We start from the raw sequence: 23,048 nt of genomic DNA on the forward strand, positions 1-23,048 counted from the left end.
GTTTAATAAACAATATACTGAGTTATTTTAGTTTAAAAGATTCTAACCACATTGTATTCCACACAGCCTAGGTGACTCTACAAAAAAACAGAAGTCACTTACAGAGATTCCAAATCAGTATTTTTTACAACTTCTCCTTAGTGTAAAAACATCTTAATTTCTCATGCTTTAAATTTAAGTCTTAGTCCTTATGATTCCAAACCAAGGGATGTACTCATAATCAACAAGCTATGATGGTTTTCTAAGACAGTCTTTCAGGTGTTTTAGAGATACAAAGCTGATAAAGGGCTAACACTAATGACAAGAGTTTCAGTTTAAAATGCACAAATAGCTCACTCCATCAGCACCATGTTGGCTCTGAGAAATTTATACTAGACTTTGAACTTGTATAACACTCAAAATAAAAAACAAAACCCAAGTTCTCAACAATATCTCCAGATTATTCTTTCTGAGAGTCTTGCTCTGTCACCCAGGCTGGAGTGCAGTGGCATGAACATGGCTTACTGCAGCCTTGAACTCCTGGGTTCAAACAATCTTCCCACAGCCTCCCAAGTAGCTGGGAATGACTGCAGGCATGAACCACCAGGCCTGGCTAATTTTTTATAACTTTTTTTTGTAGAGACAAGTGTCACAATGTTGTCCAGACTCCCCTTATCTCAACTACAGTAAAAAGTAACTCTTGAAATGTAACCTTTGTGAATTAAAATTTGTTACACATGCACAAGAGTTTTTAAGACAGAGACTTGCTAGGCATGGTGGCATGCACCTGTAGTCCCAGTGACTTGGGAGGCCAAGGTGCAAGGATTGCTTGGGCCCAGGAGTTGGAGACTGACATGGTTTAGCTGTGTCCCCACCCAAATCTCATCTTGAACTGTAGCTCCCATAATTCTCATGTGTTGTGGAAAGGACAGGGTGAGAGATAACTGAATCATGGGGGTGGTTTCCTGCCATACTGTTCTCATGGTAGTGAATAAGTCTCACGAGATGTGATAGTTTTATAAGGAGTTTCCCCTTTCGCTTGGGCTCTCATTCTTTCTTGCCTGCCGCCACCATGTAAGACATCCCTTTGCTTTTCCTTCATCTTCCACCATGATTGTGAGGTCTCCACAACCATGTGGAACTGTGAGTCAATTAAACCTCTTTCCTTTATAAATTGCCCAGTCTCGGCTATGTCTTTATTAGCAGCATGAGAACAGACAAATGCAGAGACCATCCTGGGCAACAGAGCAAGAGCTCATCTCAAAAACAAAACAAAACCCAGACACTATAGGACTAAATTTTTTATAAAACCCCAAAACTATAGCTGTATGCTTAAGAAACATACCTACAACAAAACCAAATAGGAACACTGAAAATAAAGTTATGGGAAAGATATATCAGACAAACACCAACTCCCAAAATAGCTCATTAGCAATATTAATACATACAAATTACTTAAGGCAAAATAAGTAAATAGGATGATAAAGAAGGAAAGCAATTCACCAAGAATATTAAAATTCCTGAACTTGTATATACCTTTGAAATACGTAAATTATATCTAACTTTGCATATGTTTGCAATAGAATTATTTTTATAATTATATATTTATATATAGCTATAGATAGCTTTCAAATATGGCTTTGAAATATTTAAATGTAAGTCAGAATTATATAGACAAATGGACAAAATCTGCAATCATAGATTTTAACATTTCCATCAGAAATTGATATACTAGCCAGGCTTACACCTGTAATCCCAGCACTTTGGGAGGCTGAGGTTGGAGGATCACATGAGCCCAAGAGTTTTGAGACTAGCCTGTGTAACATAGGGAGACCACATCTCTAGGAAAAAAAAAATTTTTTTTTTTTTTTGAGACTGATTCTTGCTCTCTTACCCAGGCTGGAGTGCTGTGGCACAATATCAGCTCACTGCAACCTCCGCCTCCCGGATTCAAGCGATTCTCCTGTCTCAGCCTCCCAAGTAGCTGGGACTGCAGGCAAACACCACCATGCCCAGCTAATTTTTGTATTTTTAGTAGAGACGGGGTTTCACCATGTTGGCCAGGCTGGTCTTGAACTCCTGACCTCAAATGATCCACCCCCATCGGCCTCCCAAAGTGCTGGGATTACAGGCGTGAGCCACCGCACCCGGCCACAAAAAATAAATTTAAAATTAGCCAGGCTTGGTGATGTATGCCTGTGGTCCTCCTGGGAGGTTGAGGTGGGAGGGTGGCTTGACCTTGGGAGGTCGAGACTGCAGTGAGCTGTGATACCATCACTGCAATCCAGGCTTGGTGAGACAGCAAGACCCTGTCTCAAAAAGACAAAAAAAAGTTGATATATAAAACAACCTAGAAATTAGTAAGAATACAGAATAAAGAACACAAAATTTAAGTCTTTTTTTTTTTTTAAATAAAAAAGGGTTTCACTTTGTCACCCAGGCAGGAGTGCAGTGGCACAAATACAAAACACTATAGCCTCAACTTCCTGGGCTCAAGTGATTCTCCCGCCTCAGCCCCCCAGGTAGCTGAAGACCACAGGCATGCAGGCACGCACCATCACGTCTGGCTAATTTTTGTACTTTTTGTAGAGATGGGGTTTCGCCATGTTGGCCGGGCTGGTCTCGAACTCCTGACCTCAAGTGATCCACCCATCTCAGCCTCCTAAAGTGCTGGGATTACAGGTGTGAGCCACTGCACCTGGCCTAAAATCTCACTCTAAAGATATATACAGATCTCTCAACCCAACAAAGAGGGATTCAAAGAGTTAATATAGTATATAGAGAGTAACAGGATGGACTCAAAGAAACTAACTTCCAATCCTGGTTCTGCCATTTACTAGCTAAGCAAACCTTATACAAGTTACTTAATCACTTAAGTCTGGTTTTTCCTCTATAAAATAGGTATTAATTGAAAATTTTAAAATTTACCCCTATAATTTTGTAAGAAAATAAAATTACTAAGCATAGCAAGGACTTTCTCTGACCCAAGAATACTGTGTTTTCTAACAACATCTATGAAACATTACTAACAGGAGAACATGTTAGCTTTCAGTAGGGGAAAGCAAATCCTAGAACCAAAAATATTTAAGCAAATATTTATTTTTATTTTTTATTTTTGAGACAGAGTCTCACTCTGTCACCCAGGCTGGAGTGTAGTGGCACAGTCTTGGCTCACTGCAACCTCTGCCTCCTGGGTTCAAGCAGTTCTCCTGCCTCAGCCTCCCAAGTAGCTGGGATTACAGGCACGTGCTACCAAGCCTGGCTAATTTTTTTATTTTTAGTAGAGATGAGTTTTTGCCATGTTGGCCAGGCTGGTCTCAAACTCCTGGCCTCAGGTGATCCGCCCATTTCGGCCTCCTAAAGTGCTGGGATTACAGGAGTGAGCCACCGCACCTGGCCATAAGTAAATATTTTAGAACTCTCCTTTTAGTACATGAAATGAAATTCAAATTTATGATATACTTAATTACAAAAAAAGTCTAACTGCAATATAAAGGAGAAACAAAATGAAAGTAATTTGTAATATATATAAGTATGCAAACAAAACAATACTAGAAAACATAAAATATTCATAAGTAGAATCACTGACAGTGGCAGCTATGAACAAAATCTTCCATATATTCCCATAGGTTAAGAATGTCTGAGGGGTCAGGCGGTGCTGGCAAGATGGCTGCACTTGAGAAGATGACGTTTCCCAAGAAGATGACATTTCCAGAGAAACCAAGCCACAAAAAGTACAGGGCCGCCCTGAAGAAGGAGAAACGAAAGAAACGTCGGCAGGAACTTGCTCGACTGAGAGACTCAGGACTCTCACAGGAGGAGGAAGAGGACACTTTTATTGAAGAACAACAACTAGAAGAAGAGAAGCTATTGGAAAGAGAGAGGGAAAGATTACATGAGGAGTGGTTGCTGAGGGAGCAGAAGGCACAAGAAGAATTCAGAATAAAGAAGGAAAAGGAAGAGGCGGCTAAAAAATGGCTAGAAGAACAAGAGAGAAAGTTAAAGGAACAATGGAAAGAACAGCAGAGGAAAGAGAGAGAAGAGGAGGAGCAGAAACAACAGGAGAAGAAAGAAAAAGAGGAAGCTGTGCAGAAGATGCTGGATCAGGCTGAAAATGATTTAGAAAATAGTACCACATGGCAAAACCCAGAACCACCCGTGGATTTCAGAGTAATGGAGAAGGATCGAGCTAATTGTCCCTTCTACAGTAAAACAGGAGCTTGCAGATTTGGAGACAGATGTTCACGTAAACATAATTTCCCAACATCTAGTCCTACCCTTCTTATTAAGAGCATGTTTACAACGTTTGGAATGGAGCAGTGCAGGAGGGATGACTATGACCCTGACGCAAGCCTGGAGTACAGCGAGGAAGAAACCTACCAACAGTTCCTAGATTTCTATGAGGATGTGTTGCCCGAGTTCAAGAACGTGGGGAAAGTGATTCAGTTCAAGGTCAGCTGCAATTTGGAACCTCACCTGAGGGGCAATGTATATGTTCAGTACCAGTCGGAAGAAGAATGCCAAGCAGCCCTTTCTCTGTTTAACGGACGATGGTATGCAGGACGACAGCTGCAATGTGAATTCTGCCCAGTGACCCGGTGGAAAATGGCGATTTGTGGTTTATTTGAAATACAACAATGTCCAAGAGGAAAACACTGCAACTTTCTTCATGTGTTCAGAAATCCCAACAATGAATTCTGGGAAGCTAATAGAGACATCTACTTGTCTTCAGATCAGACTGGCTCCTCCTTTGGCAAGAACTCCGAGAGGAGGGAGAAGATGGGCCACCACGACCACTACTACAGCAGGCAGCGGGGAAGGAGAAACCCTAGTCCAGACCACACCTACAAAAGAAATGGGGAATCCGAGAGAAAAAAGAGTAGTCATAGGGGGAAGAAATCTCACAAACGCACATCAAAGAGTCGGGAGAGGCACAATTCACCAAGCAGAGGAAGAAATAGGCACCGCAGCTGGGACCAGGGCCGCCGGAGCCAGAGCCGCAGGAGCCACCGCAGCCGGAGCCAAAGTTCCTCTAGGTGCCGAAGTCGTGGGAGGAGGAAGTCGGGTAATAGAGACAGAACTGTTCAGAGTCCCCAATCCAAATAAACTAGTTTTGTTCTTAAAAAAAAAAAAAAAAAAAAAAAGAATGGACCAGGCCAGGTATAGTGGCTCACACCTGTAATCCCAGCACTTTAGGAGGCTGAGGTGGGTGGATCACTTGAGGTCAGGAGTTTGAGGCCAGCCTGGCCAACATGGCAAAACCCCATTTCTACTAAAAATACAAAAATTAGCCAGGTGTGGTGGCAGGCGTCTGTAATCCAAGCTACTTGGGAAGCTGAGGCAGGAGAATCGCTTGAATCTGGAAGGCGGAGGTTGCAGTGAGTCGACATCATGCCACTTCACTCCAGCCTGGGTGACAGAGCGAGACTGTGTCTCAAAAAATAGAATTTTTGGACTAGTGGAACTACACAGCCTGCTTTCCATATCAGACCATTCAATCCAATGGGATTCACTGCCATAATCTCCATGTTATGATTTTAAGCCAGGCCTCTCTTCACCTTTCCTATTCCTTACATTTAAAGACTCCAAAGCTTGTTTACTGAGCACAGATCTTGGAAAACAGGATCTTCAGACTTGGGAAAGCATGACAGTAGATGATGGAAAGGTAAAGACTCAGACTAGCATCTAGTAGTCTCGCTACACATGGATAGTAATGCTACGTGCATGAATGTGCAATCATGCAAAAACTCAAATCAGCCTTCTGCACACACACAATGGTAGACTAAGACCTTCTGTTAAAGGTCCAAGCACTCCAAGGAAGCCAGCGCCTTGAGGTACCCTCAGTATGTGCAAGTAGTTCGATGTTACTCTTAGTTTTCCCAGCAACTCTGCTCTAGCATGCCCTAAGTTTAGCCAGCAGCAGATCTTACTGAATTATAAGATGTTGCCAGAGGTTCAGAACCTTGGTTTTTTTGAGATACGCATTTGCATTGACCCAAAATGGAGAATTAAATGACTGTATTTTTCACTGGCATTAGCTTTGTTTCCTTGGCATAGTGCCAGTTAATTACAGCAGACCCTGCAAGACCACCTCTCTAGTTATTTCCCTGTGGAAGCCTTTTGGTTGGTTTTGTTTTTTTGGTTTTTTTTGTTTTTTTTTTTTTTTTGAGACGGAGTCTTGCTCTGTTGCCAGGCGGGAGTGCAGTGGCGTGATCAGCTCACTGCAACCTCCGCCTCCCAGATTCAAGTGATTCCCCTGCCTCAACCTCTCGAGTAGCTGGTACTACAGGCGCATGCCACCGTGCCCAGCTAATTTTTTGTATTTTAGTAGAGACAGGGTTTCACCATGTTGGCCAGGATGGTCTTGATCTGACCTCGTGATCTGCCCACCTTGGCCTCCTAATGTGCTTAGGATTATAGGCGTGAGCCACTGCACCCTGCTGCCTTTTGGTTTTTAATATCCAAAATTCATACAATGTTTTACTGTAGTTGCTTATATAGGAAAAGCTATACATCCCCAAAATGCAATACAACATTATGATATGCAGGAAATGTCTTGAGTAACATTTTTGACAGAATATCAGAATCCTTGGTGGACATTTTGAAGAATATGCAGAGCATCACAGGGGATGTGCTATGTATTCCTGCACACAGAGCAATTGTTACTTACTATATTAACTATTTGGAGAGCAGCAAGTGTTTTTAGCATCTAACATCCTAACATGATATTTGTTATATATAGGTATTTTGCTGTATTTTATTAATACTTAGTGAATTCGTTGAGTTTTACATTGACATGTAATACATTAAAATTTTTCCCACTTAAAATAGTGGAAAATAAGCTTCTGCATAGAATGTATTCCTACATAGAATATCTGATTTTCAGAAATGGATTATCAAGAGAGAGACAGATGTCCATATTAAAACCAGAGCATTAAGGTGAAGTGAAAATGACTCATTGGATTAAGAATCAGGAGAGGTGGGGCTGGGCGCAGTGGCTTACGCCTGTAATCCCAGCACTTTAGGAGGCCGAGGCAGGTGGATCACGAGGTCAGGAGTTCGAGACCATCCTGGCCAACATGGTGAAACCCTGTCTCTACTAAAATTAGAAAAAAAATAGCCGGGCATTGTGGTGGGCACCCGTAGTCCCAGCCACTCAGGAGGCTGAGGCAGGAGAATCACTGGAACCCAGGAGGCGGAGGTTACAGTGAGCTGAGATTGCGCCACTGCACTCCAGCCTGGCGACAGAGCGAGACTCTGTCTCAAAAAAAAAAAAAAAAAAAAATCAGGAGAGGTGGGGTGTGTTTTATGACTTTAGGCAAATCAACCTAAGAGACAGTTTTCTCTTCTGCAGAGTTTTAGGAAAGTCACAAATTAATGTACTTGAAGAAAGTGTACAATAGAATAGTAGTATTACCAAATCCTAAAGTTCTTATTGTGGAAAATCTCTGAAATATTACCTGCCTATGTAGATGCCAACCCTTCAGCAATCCAGACAAGCTTATTATCTTTTCTGGATGAATTAAGTGTCCACAGTTTTGTACCTCTTCAATGTGATTACTTTGTAGGCTAGACTGCAGACTGTTAATTGACTACTTTCTGGTACCCTCTAGCTATTGTCTTGAGACAGTAAAATAATTACTGCTCTCTAGCTACATCCTTAGCATTTTCCTGTTCTGAAATGAAATCATTTTCTTATGTTAAAAATAAAGTTAATTACTGTTCAACTCCCAAGGTGATATTCAGCTGCCACCTCTTACAACCCTCTCTTCTTAATCTGTGTAACTATTCTACAGCCCAGGAATAGCCTGAGTTTATTAAAGTCACCCACACAGATCTGGCTCTTTTCAATCAAGCTGCCCTCAAAGTGCCAGCTGATGATACTCCCAAGGAGACTCACAAGCCCACTGCTGCCTGCAGTTCAGACAGAGTCCATGCTATTTTAACTGGACTCTTGGCACTATTAGCACTGACACAATGACTCCTTAAATTACGAATTACAACAGGCCATTCTATTCCGTCTGTGCTTCTAATGCTGTCACCATGTGATTTTCCCCCAGAAGAGATATTTCCCAGGTAGGGGTATGCTTAACATGCAGTTACGGAACTGAGAGTTAATGTCAGAAGAAAGCTTTTGCAGTGTAGCCACAGAATAGTTACAGGCTACATTGCTCAGCATGCACAAATAAAAGCTTAAAAGAACGTGTTAAAGGAAAGATTTCCCTGTCTTTTTAGCCTCCTACGAACATTAAGAAGAAAAATGTTGCGAGGCACAGTGGCTTACGCCTGTAATCCTAGCACTCTGGGAGGCTGAGGTGTCCAAGAGGATCACCTGAGGTCAGGAGTTTGAGACCAGCCTGGCCAACATGGTGAAACCCCATCTCTACTAAAAATACAAAATTTGCCTAGCGTGGTGGTGGGCACCTGTAATCCCAGCTACTTGGGAGGCTGAGGCAGGAGAATTGCTTGAATGCGGGAAGTACAGGTTGCAGTGAGCAGAGATCACGCCACTTCACTCCACTCCAGCCTGAGTGAAATAGCGAAACTCCATCTCAAAAAAAAGAAAAAAGAAAAGAAAAATGTTATATTCTCTGTCAATGGGTGAAATAGCACAGGTGACAATTCAGGTCAGGACCTAATCTTGCCAGAGTTTACTCAACCTTGTTCTAAAAATAAATCTAGCCAGGCCTGGTGGCTCACGCCTGTAATTGCAGCACTTCGGGAGGCTGAGGTGGGTGGATCACAAGGTCAGGAGTTGAGACCAGCCTGGCCAACATGGTGAAACCCCGTCTCTACTAAAAATACAAAAATTAGCCGGGCGTGGTTGTGCACCTGTAGTCCCAGCTACTCGGGAGGCTGAGACAGGAGAATCACTTGAACCTGGGAAAGAGGTTACAGTGAGCAGAGGTCACGCCACTGCACTCCAGCCTGGGCGACAGAGCAAGACTCCGTCTCAAAAAAAGTAAAGTAAATCTAGAAAATGATTTAAATGAAGGTAAACAGAGGATACAAAGATATTAATTGCAGCATTATGTATAATCGCATGACAAATGTCCTCAATGTCTTTCAATTGGGAAGTAGGTAAATTATCAATAACATTAGATAGCTATGTCAAAAAATACTGAATAACATGAGAAAATACTCAGAATACTGTGTTAATTGAAAAAAGCAAGACACAGAATTATATATCATATGTGATCTAAGCCACACATATGTTAAGACAGCAATACATACATATATATATACACATACACACAGAGTTCTGTTTTTATTTATATACACAGACCAATATATTTGCACATTTTAAAAAATAGGAAGACTACTCTAAGATGTAGGATTACAAATGTTATTTTCCTCCCTACATAAAACACATCCCATCACACACACACACACACACACACACACACACACACACACACACAAATGTAAACAGTAGGACAACAAGGACTTTGTTTTATTCGCCAAAGTATCTCCCAGATGTAGAACAGAATCTGGCACATGGAGGTTCTAAATAAATCTGCTGAATAAAGGAATGAGCATATGTAAATTTCATAATCAAGAAAAAAAGCTTTTAAATTTATTTTTAAACCCTCTTGCTCAAGGCCAGATGTCAGAGCAAAGCTCAGAATATGCATGATCCAATTTCTACCTAAATACATCATATATTATCTTCTCAACTAAGCTTTGATGCCAAGCCATTGGCTCCTTTTATTTTCCTCCAATCTTATCAGCTGCTTTAGAAAAATGAAAATAAAGCCAACAATATTAACTCTGCAAAAAATAAAATATTAAACATGTCCTCGGGCTGGGAGCAGTGGCTCACACCTGTAATCCCAGCATTTTGAGAGGCCGAGGCGGGCAGATCACTTGAGGTCAGGAGTTTGAGACCAGCCTGGCAAACACGGCGAAACCCCATCTCTACTAAAAATACAAAAATTAGCTGGGTGTGGTGGTGCGTGCCTGTAATCCCAGCTACTTGGGAGGCTGTGGCAGGAGAATCGCTGGAACTGGAGAGGCAGTGGTTGCAGTGAGCCAAGATGGCACCACTGCACTCCAGCCTGGGTGACAGAGCAACACTCTGTCCCAAAAAACAAAAAACAAAACAAACCCATGTCCTTACTTGTAAGTCTCTTTCCCACACTTCCAGTCAGCATGCGATTGCAACAGCATAGGTAAGATGGATTCTAGTCCCTAAAATTCAATACTCTCCTGAACCTTCTCCTACAGACGAGACTCTGCAATTCAGAGGCCTCTTCTCAGTCTGTTCACTAGGTCATTCAGAGTATGCCACTAATGTAGGAAGAAAGTATTTTGATTGACAGCATCATGAATGTTTAATCCTTTCAAGTATGTTATCTATTTGGAATGTATGCAATAAATTCACTTTCATGAACACTATGATGCCATGCAGCTGGAGACTACTAATGGATGCACATTCATTTTACCATTAGGGAAGAAAGTCTGCTACAAAGCAATATTTTAAATGAACTTCAAAACCAAATATAAATGATTCAGTGACTACCATTTATTTTGGATCTTCTCTCTACCTCTCTGTGAACTCCATTAGCAGAGGTGATTAGGAGTAGGCTAGAAGTCAAGCTTGCTCACATTTGGAAGTCTGAGGTCAGAACTACTGCAAGTAGTTCTGCTGACAAGATAGTGTTCACTGCCACAAGCAAGTGGGCCCAAAGCAAAAGCCAATTTCTTTCCACTAAAGACTACTGTGAGGTCCCTACGATTAGATGGATCTTATTAAGGGCTTTAAAATTATCTGAAGTTTAAATTATGTCATGTCCAAATTAAAGATTGTAAGAATATTTTTATAAATGTTAAATGACTTTGAATAATAAAAACAAAAAAATCCAATCTTTGAAATCAACTCTTTCCACAGACCAATTTTTATTTTCTTCCATCAGTTTTGAAAGGAAAATTCTTAATTGCCTTACAAGGCATTCTGTGGTGAAGTCATTCAAAAATATAAAAGAATCTATACTGAGCATGTTTTCATTTAATTTTTTAAACTTTAAAAGACACTCACTTCATATAGTGTCTTGTCTTTTTTCTTTTTTAACCATAAATGGTGTGATACTGTATTTAATGTTCTATTACTTTTTTTCTTTTTCGAGACAGGGTCTCACTCTGTCACCCAGGCTAGAGTGCAGTTGGGTGATCATTGCTTATTGTAGCCTTGAACTCCTGGGCTCAAACCATCCTCCCACCTCAGCCTCCTGAGCAGATGGGACCACAGGCATGCACCACCATGCCTGGCATTTGTTTTTTGGTTTTCGGTTTTTTTTTTTTTGGTCAACATGCTGTGATCTGGGAGCCTGGTTAATTTTTAAATTTGTGTGTGTGGAGACAGGGTCTCACCATGTTGCCCAGGATGGTGTCAAACTCCTGGCCTCAAGCAGTCCTTCTGCCTTGGCCTCCGAGTATGCTGGGATTACAGGCAAAAGCTAGCACAACTGTCCTGTATAACTTTTCATAATTACTAAATTATGCAAAAATTTCTGGGTCTGTACATATGGATCTATTTCATTCCATTTAACTGTATGGATATACTATTAATTGAATGAACCATTTACCTGCTGATGGACATTTCTGTTTATAATGTTTACATTATGCAGTTCATATTATATACAGTTGACAACAAAAAATGCTGCCATGAATATCTTTGTGCAGCTCTTTAATGCACAGTGACTATTTCCTTAGAATTGTTAAGAGTATCATTTTTCAATTCAACAAGAAATGGTTAAAAGGTCCCTTAAAAAGGTTATTCAAGTTTATACCACTAGGCTGTTAAGTATCCCTTATGTGAAATGCTTGGGACTAAAAGTGTTTCGGGTTTCACATTTATTCAGATTTTGGAATATGTACATTATACCAACTGAGCATACCAAATCAGAAACTCTAAAATCTAAATGCTCCAATGAGCATTTCCTTTGATCATTATGTGGGCACTCAAAAAGTTTGGGGTTTTAAAGCATTTAGGATTTCCAATTTCAGATGTTCAGCCTGTACCATTACATGTCCATTTCCCTATACATTCACCAATACCAGATATTTTCAATCTTTAAAATATCTGCCAGTTTAATGAACAAAATATGGGATTTCACTATTTTAACTCACACTTCCCACATCACTGGTGAGCTGTTTACTAGCCATTCATATTTTTTCTCTTCCGTGAAATACTTAACTTAGAACCTTTTCCCATTTTCTTTTTCTTTTTACTTATGGAAATTGTTATGTATTCTGGATATTCCTTATTTGGTGTAAATGTTGTAAATCTATCTTCCTAGTCTGTCATTATTTTAACTTTGTTTATGCTGCCCACTGTCATATAGAAATTTAATTTTTAGAAATTTTTAGTTGAATTTATCAAATCTTTTTCTTTGAAACTTTTGTATTTTGTCTTGCTTCTATACCTCAAAGTTAAAAAATATTGTCCTCTACTTTTTTCTAAAACAGAGGTTTTGGCATAAAAGTCCTGTCTTTGCAAATCACTCAGGAAAACAGGTGGACACTAACTAAAGGCAGTTACTTCCCTACCCCTCCTGCTCCAACCCCTAGAGCTGTGAACTATAACCCAGGATCACTTCCTTTTGATGCTGCTTTGCTGGGGTAGAAGGGGACTGTACAGTGAAGCTTTGACCTGAGGAGCTCTTCTGTAGGTGAAGAGTGGTTAACTATGGTTCCTGTGTGCCTGGGGCCCCCCACTCCTAGGACTCATCCACCCCCTACCCAGAACTTACTAGTACTAGCATGGACTGGGGCCCCCTCCATTCCAGTGCCTGATGGGATAGCTGATACTCATGGATGAAAAGCAGTTTGTAGGCTAAAATAAAAAGATATTTTAAGAATATATTTCTTTTTTTTTTTTTAGAGATGGAGTCTGGCTCTGTTGCCTAGGCTGGAGTGCAGTAGTGTGATCTCGGTTCACTGCAACCTCTGCATCCCAGATTCAAGCAGTTCTCCTGCCTCACCTCCTGAGTAGCTGGGACTACAGGTGCACTCTGCCACACCCAGCTAATTTCGTTTGTATTTTAGTAGAGACAGGGTTTCACCGTGTTGCCCAGGCTGGTCTCGAACTCCTGAGCTCAGGCCATCTGCCCGCCTCGGCCTCCCAAAGTGCTAGAATTGCAGGCATGAGCCACCACGCCTGGCCAAGAGTACATTTCAAAAGAAAAACAACACAATCAACTACAAGTTTTGGTCAGGAGCAACAATATTAGAACTGCTGACCAAGAATTTTAAACTGGGGAGCGGTAACCATACTAAAAGAAATGAGAAAATATTAGCAATATGAAACAAGGACAAGAAGAAGAGAGCCAAGCAAAAACATTAGGTGTGAACAATATAATAGTTGAAATGAAGAACACGGTATATAGCAGGAATAACAGAATGGTTATAATGTAATCATGGAGTACAGTTGAAAATTAGATGGTCAGATTGAGTCCGGGCACGGTGGCTCACGCCTGTAATCCCAGCACTTTGGGAGGCCGAGGTGGGTGGATTGCTTAAGGTCAGGAGTTCGAGAGCACCCTGGCCAACATGGTGAAACTCTTTCTCTACCAAAAAAAATACAAAAATTGACCAGGCGTGGTGGCACATGCCTGTAATCCCAGCTACTCGGGAGGCTGAGGCAGGACAATCACTTGAACCCAGGATGCGGAGGTTGCAGTGAGCGGAGATTGTACCATGGCACTCTAGCCTGGGCAACAGACCAAGAGTCCATCTCAGAAAAAAAAAAAAGGAGGTCAGATTGAGAAATCTCCCAGAAGAAGTACAAATAAATAGATTTTTAAAAAAACCAACCCTGTCTCTACTAAAAATACAAAAATTAGCCAAGCATGGTGGTGGGCGCCTGTAATCCCTGCTACTCAGGAGGCTGAGGCAGGAGAATTGCTTGAACCTGGGGGGTGGAGGTTGCAGTGAGCCAAGATCATGCCACTGCACTCTAGCCTGGGCGACGGAGCAAGACTCCATCTCAAAAAAAGAAAAAAAAAAAAAAAGGCTAAGACCAAAGACAAAAAGAATTATATATCCATAATTAACCAGAACTAAAACTCAAGATACTACCATTTATGATGGTGGTTGGAGTGATGGAGCTTCCTATATTTAATTTCCTATATCTAAATTTCTTTAGATAAAATTGTTTAAAAGAGTAGCCAGGTGCAGTGGTGTGCGCCTATGGTCCCAGCTACTCGGGAGGCTGAGGCAAGTGGCTTGCTTGAGCATTTTTTTGTTTTTGTTTTTTTTGAGACAGAGTCTCGCTCTGTTGCCCAGGCCTGTCTTCTTGTTTATAATCTGAGACAGAGCCACAGATGCACAACATTCAAGCATTTATTCCTACTTCTTCTATACAGGTACTGAGATGGAGTTTTAGTGGTAGCAAGACCAACATACCTTCAGCATGTAGTAGAAGGGGAACCATGACAGGAAGATATCAGAGAAGAATTCAGCAATGCTGAACACACCATACACTACCCAGTAGGTCAGCCACTGGGTATCATCTTCTTTGTTGGGACTCTCTATAGCTTTAATTCTGAAAGGCAGTACAAAAGAAAGTATATCATTTGGTAAGATATCAATGAAAGATTTTCAAATACACTTTCATAACCTGTCCTCTGATACCACTGAGAAACTTAGGCACATGTAGGCACTGTGTCACTAGATGCAAGAGTACAGCTTAAAGACTGGAAGCAATGTGGATATCGGGACAAGCCATTATAACCACTTGTTTCTAGTCTCCTGGTCACCAGAGAAACCAGCACCAGCTGTTACTGCCCTGGATCTCCACCCTGCCAAAGCCTCCCCACAAGTCCTAGAATATACCACTAGTGACTGGGAGCTAGAGCAATTTCCACTCCCAAGCTGGGTCCTGCCACGAGGGATATATCAGGAAGAATTCTCTCGTGATAACCAGGTTCTTATGTACTTTTAATAATTGAGATATATCATGGGTGAATAAGAATTTCCCATAAAGCAACATTTGGAACATAGGTTAGGTACTGCCCAAAATCCACAGCATATTTTATAGTAAACGGGTGAAAACAAACCTCATGGTGTCTATTTAGTTCAGAATGTCTTTAACTGATCCACAGGCTATGGACTTTCCTCCTCTCCTCAGTTAATAACAGGACTTTCCCAACCCTAACTATTGCTTAAACAAAATTCATTCTGCAAATGGATGGAAATACATTTAAAATAATTTTCTAAATCACAGAAATTTCCTTCAGTCCTAGGAATCTCATTATTCTAAACCTGAAGCTCCACAATTTCTTATCCTAACAGATCTAGATATTTATCGTAACTGAGCTGGACTGAAACAGTAAAATAAAAGAACTCTGAATCTTGTTTAGCCTATGAAACAGGTTAACTACTGAAAATACATTGACAGGGAGCTAAGCTATGAGGATGCAAAGGCATAAGATACAATGGACTATGGGGACTTTGGGGAAAGGGCTGGGGGTAGTGAGGGATAAAAGACTACACATTGGGTACAGTGTACCCTGCTCAGTTGATGGGTGCACCGAAATCTCAGAAATTGCCACTAAAAACTTATCCATGTAACCAAACGCCACCTGTTACCCAAAAACCTATTGAAATAAAAAATTTTCAAAAAGCAAATACATTGGCTACTCCATAACATCAGCTCCCCAAAGAGACAGTCAGGCTGCTAAATCATGCTCAGTCACTCACTAAGAAAGCCCTTGTACAGTTAATTAGAAGCAGCTATGTGTGTGAGTTTTAGAAAATAACCAAAAGGGGAAAAATTGTAGCTCAATGAGATGATTACTAATGAGGAAGACAGAGAGAGGAACAAGTAATAAGGTGAATGTTGCTTTGAACTTCAAGACTAGGCAAAATTTTTATTTTTTTGAGACAGGGTCTCTGCACAGGCTGGAGTGCAGTTGCACAATAATAGCTCACTGCAACCTCAAACTTCTGGGCTTATGTAATTCCCTTCACTTCAGCCTCCCAAGTAGCTGGTACTACAGGTACACACCACCACACCTAGCTACTTGCTAAATTTTTAGTAGAGACAAGGTCTCACTGTGTTGCCCAGGCTGGTCTCGAACTCCTGGCCTCAAGCAATCCTCCTGCCTTGGCCTCCCAAAGTGCAGTCTGGTGGCTCCCACACCCAGCCCCAAATATTTCAAAGTACAAGAATCATATAAAATGAATTTAAGAGAGCTGATTATTAAAAAATGGCTTGTAATGTATGCACAAAGTCTGTATTTTTTTAGCTTCCTTCAGATAGAAGCTGGCGAATGTAATAGAAGGCCAAAGGAAAAGTGTAGACAAGCATGTTAACCAAAGAACACAGTATATCCTTTATGTGTAAGATTTCTTCTCCCGCTGTGTTTCATTTGGTATAGTATGGCTTATCCATATTTAATTGGATTTATTTAATTATTAGTATAATAAAAATTTGTTTCCTGTACATTCATTCTGGGCAGAGGAGATACGTAATTACATTTCACTCAAGGTCTTAGTTTTGTGAACGCAATAGCTCACAACTATGTACTTCCAAAAGAAGCAACTCTCAGGACACACCTGGGAATTAAACAGTCTTTTCTAGAATATGACGTAAAAACCTCAAAATGTGATGGGACTGTCATTGTTAATCCAGTGGCTTTTAAATTCTTTTGGCCACAACCCTCGGTAAGCATACATTTTACATCATGATCCAGTAAACAGACATCTTCACATAAAAATATAAACTTAAATAGATATTTCCTGAAACCATTCTGATATTTTAAATTCCATTCTATTTCATTATTTTTTAAATGTTAGTCAAGTTCCACAGATTGAAAAACAGGAAGCCTAACAGTTCAGCTCTTCTAGGAAAAAAAAATTCTTTTTTAATTCATATCTACAATATGAATTCTAAAGTCCCCATGTTAATATACTAGAACACTATATAGTAACATTGAAAAGTAGAAATAAAAGAACTCCAAATTGAATACATACACTGATCACAACTTTGCAGAAAACCAAGGCATATGAAAGAAGCCAGGAAAAGGCCAATGAGTCTATTAAGCTAAAGAGATTTTTTAATAGATCTTCTCATATTATTGAAGCATTTAATTGTTTTAATTTAAAATAGCACAATGTTCAATTTAAAAAATGTCTTTATGTGTCATAACAATCACAAACTACCCAAAACAAGAAAAAAGGGAAGAGATGGTCTAGCTCACTCAGGAACGTGAGGTTCAAAAAAGTGAAGTGCCCCATGTAGTCATGGTGAGAGAAGAAAAAAGCTTAAAACTGAGGTTTCTGGCCGGGCACAATGGCTCACACCTGTAGTCCCAGCACTTTGGGAGGCCGAGGTGGGCAGATCACCTGAGGTCAGAAGTTCAAGACCAGCCTGGCCAACATGGTGAAACCCCACCTCTACTAAAAATACAAAAATTAGCCGGGCGTGGTGGCACATGCCTGTAATCCCAGCTGCTTGGGAGGCTGAGGCAGGAGACTCACTTGAACCCGGGAGGCGGGGGTTGCAGTGAGCCGAGATTCCACCACTGCACTCCAGCCTGGGTGACAGAGCAAGACTCGGTCTCAAAAAAAAAACAAAACAAAAAAAAAACAAACTTGAGGTTTTCTGAATGCTATTTACTTATATATCTTCTTTTTAAAAAGATTGATTGATTGATTGATTGAGACAGGGTCTTGCTCTGTCACCCAGGCTGGAGTGCAGTGGCATGATCACAACTCACTGCGGCCTCAACCTCCTGGACTCAAGTGATCCTCCCACCTCAGCCTCTCCAGTAGCTGGGACTACAGGTTCACATCATCATGCTTGGCTAACTTCTGTACTTTTTTATAAAGACGGGGTTTTGCCTTGTTCCCCAGGCTGGTCTCAAACTCATGGGGCTCAAGTGATCCTCCTGCCTCAGCCTCCCAAAATACTAGGATTACAGGCATGAGCCACCATGCCCAGGATACTTATATACCTTCTGATTAGACTTCCTTGTCCCAATTCAGTAGATAAAAGTGATTCTCCAACAAAACACTCTACTGCCTTGTACAAATATGAATCATATTCCAACTTGGTGTATCAGAATAAAGAGGTAGCAATTTAGGCAACACAGAGGATTCATGAAACCATAAGATATGCTCTATGCTCTTAGGTCCCTTGCAGTCTAGCCAAAATGGCCAAGCCATAGAATGGAGGGGTAGAAACCTATTATTTAATTTAACCTTCATAATAGCCATGTAGGATAGGTATTGTTCCTGTATTTGAGCAGAAGAAACCGAGGCTTAGTGTAGAGAAATAACATGTGCAGGGCACCCAGCTACAAGTAGCAAGGATTGGTCTTACACTTAAAATTAACTCCAAAGCCTGTGCTTTGTTCACTATCCTATGCTATTTTACTAATTAAGAAAACAGTTCAGTGGCAAGCTGGATAGCACTCAGCAAAATGTCCGGTACAAAGTAGGCATTTAATATTTATTGAATTACTATACATACAATAGGAGGTCACAATCTTACTTTTGGAGGGGACCCCAGAGAAAGGTTAAACTGGCCACAGAGCAGAAAAATAGGAGGCAGGGTCATAGTCTCAGTGTCCAGATCCCTGGAGGTCCATTCTACCCTCCACTCTACTCACCTGGATTTGCAGGGGGGAACTATCAGAAGTGAACAGGATAGTGTTCTGAGTTGGTGTCCTAGTCCACTGGTCCTCAAACTTAGATGATCATCCACATCCATCTACAGAACTTATTAAAAATATACACGCCTGGGTCCTTCTTCAGACCTAGTGATTCAGCTGCTCTTACAAGGCTGTGCAGGTGATCATAATGCAGAACTGTGTTTGGAAACCACCTCAAAGTTCCAGTCTTCACAGCACCTGCCCTACGTGTTCTAAGAAAGGAAATCCAAATGGCCAGTTTGGGTATAATCAGCTGTAGCCAGAGGGCAGGCTACCCCTTTCCAGTAATGAGTGAGAGGCCAAAAGAGAAGAAAAGTTGGACGTAGAAGTCAAACTGAATAATGTCTCTACTAAAATTAGAATAAGTCAACTCTAATATGATCTAGAACCCTCACCTGAATATTCTGAAATTTGTAAAAGGATTCAAGATAACAACACTGAAATAAAACTGTTCACTAAGATTTCAAGAACTGCATCTAAAAGCCCTGTATCTGTCTAGCTGGAACTTCAGCCTGCACAGCTAACCCCTAGAGGAGTTCTGGAATGACCCCATGGCAACAGGCAACAATTCCTACCACTCTCTCCACAGGCCTGGTCCACTCTTTTACAGGCTCCTCTGTCTCTAGTACCGCCTCATCCTCTGGCAGTCACACTGATCCTGGGCTCAGAACTAACACACCCACATACAGCTTCTGTGGACAGACACCACAGTCTTACTGCTCTCTGCACACCTTACTGTCATATTCTCACCACTGTTCTAAAGCCTGGCCGCCTAGGCTCAGTGCTGTGGCTTCCTTATTCTCTCTCCTGAGCCACCTACCATGTTCTGGGGCAGCATTTTGCTTCCCCAAAGCAGATATCAAGAGAAGCCAGGGCTGGGTGAGCAGCAGAGGCACGACTACAAGGCAGAGGATAGTTGGCAAAACTGTGGCAGCAGCTGGCAGCTCTAAAATTAATCGAGCAGAATTAGGAATCACCATGTGTGGAGTTGGAAGACATCTCAGAGATGAACTAGTTCAAATTCTACATTTTATATAGACAAAATGAAATTTAAAGAGAAAGGAGTTATATTAAAATGAATTTTAATTTATTAAACTAGAAGGTTACAGAGCATGTGTATGTAAAGGGCAGTAGACTGTTTACATTTTGGCACATCCGTACAATGAAATATTCTGAAGCCTTTAAAAAGGGTATTGACAGGGAAAGATGTCCAAGATACAGTGTTGAGTGTAAAAAGTGAATTCTAATTTTTTGTTTAAAAAAAGATGTTTTTATATGTTTACAGACCAAGAATGATATCCAGAAAGATATGCAATACATTTCAAATTGTATAAAGTTAATCCTGAATAACAGAATTTTACTTAAGGTCTTTCCAATGAGTATGTACTAAAATTGATTAAAAAAAGAAGGGGGCGGGGGAGATTTCCATTTGGAAAAGAATGAGCATCAGAGACTTTCTTTGTTTTTTGTTTTTTTTTTTTTTTTTTGATGGAGTCTTGCTCTTGTGGCCCAGGCTGGAGTGCAGTGGCACGATCTCGGCTCACTGCAACCTCTGCCTCCCCAGTTCAAGCAATTCTCCTGCCTCAGCCTCCTGAGTAGCTGGGATTACAGGCACCTGCCACCACGCCCCGCTAGTTTTTTTGTATTTTTAGTAGAGACAGGGTTTCACCATGTTGGCCAAGTTGGTCTCAAACTCCTGACCTCAGGCGATCTACCCACCTTGGCCTCCCAATGTGCTAAGATTACAAGCGTAAGCCCCCGTGCCTGGCTGAGCATCAGACTTTCTATAATGATTTTCTCCTATGAGACTAGTTTTCTCTATGAGGCTTTGTTAAAAATAAACACTAAAGTGAACATCAGCTATATTCATTTAATTTCTCTTTGAGAAAACAGCTAATAATTTTTTTTTTTAAGACAGAGTCACATTCTGTTGCCCAGGCTGGAGTGCAGTGGCGCGATCTCGGCTTACTGCAAGCTCTGCCTCCCGGGTTCATGCCATTCTCCTGCCTCAACCTCCCAAGTAGCTGGGACTACAGGTGCCCACGACAGCGCCCACGACCACGACAGCGCCCACGACCACGCCAGCTAATTTTTTGTATTTTTTAGTAGAGACGGGGTTTCACCTTGTTAGCCAGGATTGTCTCGATCTCCTGACCTCGTGATCCGCCCACCTCGGCCTCCCAAAGTGCTGGGATTACAGGCGTGAGCCACCATGCCCAGCCCAGCTAATGATTTTTTTTTTTTTTTTACAAATTTCTCTAACAATGGTCAGATATAATCTGTTTTGTTTTAGAGCATTAAAAGGCCTTCAACACACACACCCACAAAGAGACACACAAGGAGAAAAGAGAGCCACACAGCCCATCACATGAAATTGACTCATTTTAACTTTCTACTTAAATAATACAAACTATCATAAGTTACTGATTACACTGAACTATGGAATGGCCAGGGCTTTCCCTTCATTTCTTCTCAGTGCTTTTCTGGCTTTGCAGCATTTCACCACCCTTAGTTTGTAGCTCTGTATTCTAGCTCTACTACTTACTAGATATATGACCCTGGGCAAGTTATCCAATCTCTCTGAGCCTTAGTTTGTTCACCTATCTAGTATGGATAAGCCTCATTGTGTTGTTGTGAAGATTAAAGTAGTTAATATATGTAAAGCACTAAGAAAGTCTCAGTAAATACTCCCTTAACAGGTATTAATTATAGTACAGTAATAACTTATTATTATAGGGAGATAAAAGATTAAGAAGAAAAGAGAGAGATAAGAAGACTCTAGTTTCTTTGTTTAAGTAGCTGTCAGAGGGTTTATATGGCTAATAAGGCTAAAAGGAGATTAGAGTTACCCATCAATTTTAATTATACCCTACTCCAAATCCCATATGCTACAGGTAGTAAGAAGTTAGCTGAAATCCCCAAATTCATGTTTGCAGGTAGTGGGAAGAAATTTGAACATTGCTGAAAACATTTTTCAGGCCCACTCTGCAATGGTAGAATGGCAGAAATTCTTTACATTGGCATTGGACTGGTACATATATGAACACAACTCACTGGCCATCCCTCATCCAGTACACTGGGCCCCAGTAACTGGTACCAGTTCACTCCACCCTTGCTGGCCCATCTACTTGTTCACACCTTGGCTGCTATTTTCTGAAAGCAAAGGCAAGAACCAAGGATGGCCAAAGAATAGCATTAACATGTGAAGAAAACAAGGTTGAGCAGAGATGATTCTGGGCTGGAATCTCCTTCCCAAATTAAGTGTCATCTTTCAGAAAACCTAAGATATTCCCTGACCCATGACACAAGTAAGCTGTACATTCTCTAAGGACTTTAGGTGACAATGATGTGTCAATGTATGTTCACCAATTATAAAAAACAGCACTCTGACCAGGCACAATGGCTCACGCCTGTAATCGCAGCATTTTGGGAGGCCAAGGAGGGTGGATCACTTGAGGTCAGGAGTTCAAGGCCAGACTGGCCAACATGGTGATACCCCGTCTCTACTAAAAATACAAAAATTAGCCAGGCATAGTGGTGTGCACCTGTAGTCCCAGCTACTCGGGAGGCTGAAGCAGGAGAATTACTTGAACCCGGGAGGTGGAGCTGCAGTGAGCTGAGATCGTGCCACTGCACTCCAGCCTGGGCGACAGAGCAGGACTCCATCTCAAAAAAAAACAAAGACAAAAACATACCCCTCTTGTAGGTGATGCTGATGGTAGAGGAGGCTGTGTATGTGTAGGCGTAGTGGGTACATGGGAAATCTTTGTATCTTCTGCTCAATTTCACTGTGAACCTAAAATTGCTCTAAAAAATAAAATCCATTTAAAAACAAAAAAGAGAAAAAAAAACTTCACTTACCACCTAGGCATTCTATAATACCAGATTTTTAAAACTATTTTATTACCATCATGCCATTTTGGTTGTTTTGATCTGGAGAGAGTATCTGTCCCCATAAATCTAGATACCATATATATGCTAATAACTTCCAAATTTATATCTGCAGCTCAATCTCTCCATTGTACACTGCCTGGCAGTTAACTATTCACTGCTGAATGATGGTCACCAGCATGATCAGATTGTCATGGTAACACTGCTGCTTCAAAAATCCTATTACAGCAACCGGTCACTATCATTGCTCAAGGAAATAGCAGACACTGTTCCTTGCCTATCAATTAGCCAGTCCTTCCTACTCACCCACAGAGCCCTGATTTTATATACATGTACCTGGCAAATCTGTCTTGACTCAGGGAAGCTAGGCTCCTGCCCCAGGCCTAGGGGATAAATCAAAGTTAGTACAAATCCACCATGGTAATCCCATTGCTTTTTGCTAGATACTGACTTTCTTAGCCCCCTTGGAGTTAAGGGTATCCATGTGACACAGTTCTGACCAATGAAACAGAAAAGGAA

At 41.1% G+C, this 23,048-nt stretch overlaps 2 protein-coding genes and 1 pseudogene across 2 annotated transcripts in view, besides 2 other annotated features; 2 read left to right on the top strand and 1 right to left on the bottom strand.

Annotated features, from left to right (window-relative positions):
* SRP19 (signal recognition particle 19) overlaps positions 1 to 10,377 on the top strand; it is a 37,085-nt gene extending 26,708 nt beyond the window's left edge. The window contains exon 5 of the mRNA NM_001204199.2: positions 3,609 to 10,377. Coding sequence (NP_001191128.1) covers positions 3,609 to 3,613 — 5 coding nt within the window. The 3' untranslated portion in view covers positions 3,614 to 10,377. The remainder of the gene's footprint in view (positions 1 to 3,608) is intronic.
* Positions 1 to 23,048, bottom strand: part of REEP5 (receptor accessory protein 5) — a 45,843-nt gene that overhangs the window by 11,610 nt on the left and 11,185 nt on the right. Inside the window, exon 3 of the mRNA NM_005669.5 lies at positions 14,386 to 14,524. Coding sequence (NP_005660.4) covers positions 14,386 to 14,524 — 139 coding nt within the window. The remainder of the gene's footprint in view (positions 1 to 14,385; positions 14,525 to 23,048) is intronic.
* Positions 3,263 to 4,462: an enhancer, noted in NCBI's record as "P300/CBP strongly-dependent group 1 enhancer chr5:112226954-112228153 (GRCh37/hg19 assembly coordinates)". NCBI's record gives its function as "activates an origin of replication core promoter dependent on BRD2, BRD4, P300/CBP, MED14 and CDK7 cofactors, with strong dependence on P300/CBP, by STARR-seq in HCT116 cells {active_cell/tissue: HCT116}" and the evidence as "EXISTENCE:reporter gene assay evidence [ECO:0000049][PMID:35650434]".
* ZRSR2P1 (ZRSR2 pseudogene 1) lies at positions 3,634 to 5,103 on the top strand (annotated as a pseudogene).
* Positions 8,825 to 8,874: a silencer, noted in NCBI's record as "silent region_16238". NCBI's record gives its function as "represses an Ori minimal core promoter by ATAC-STARR-seq in GM12878 lymphoblastoid cells {active_cell/tissue: GM12878}" and the evidence as "EXISTENCE:reporter gene assay evidence [ECO:0000049][PMID:35858748]".

The sequence above is a fragment of the Homo sapiens genome, chromosome 5 (genome assembly GCF_000001405.40).
Source record: "Homo sapiens chromosome 5, GRCh38.p14 Primary Assembly".
In the NCBI taxonomy this organism is placed as follows: domain Eukaryota; kingdom Metazoa; phylum Chordata; class Mammalia; order Primates; family Hominidae; genus Homo; species Homo sapiens.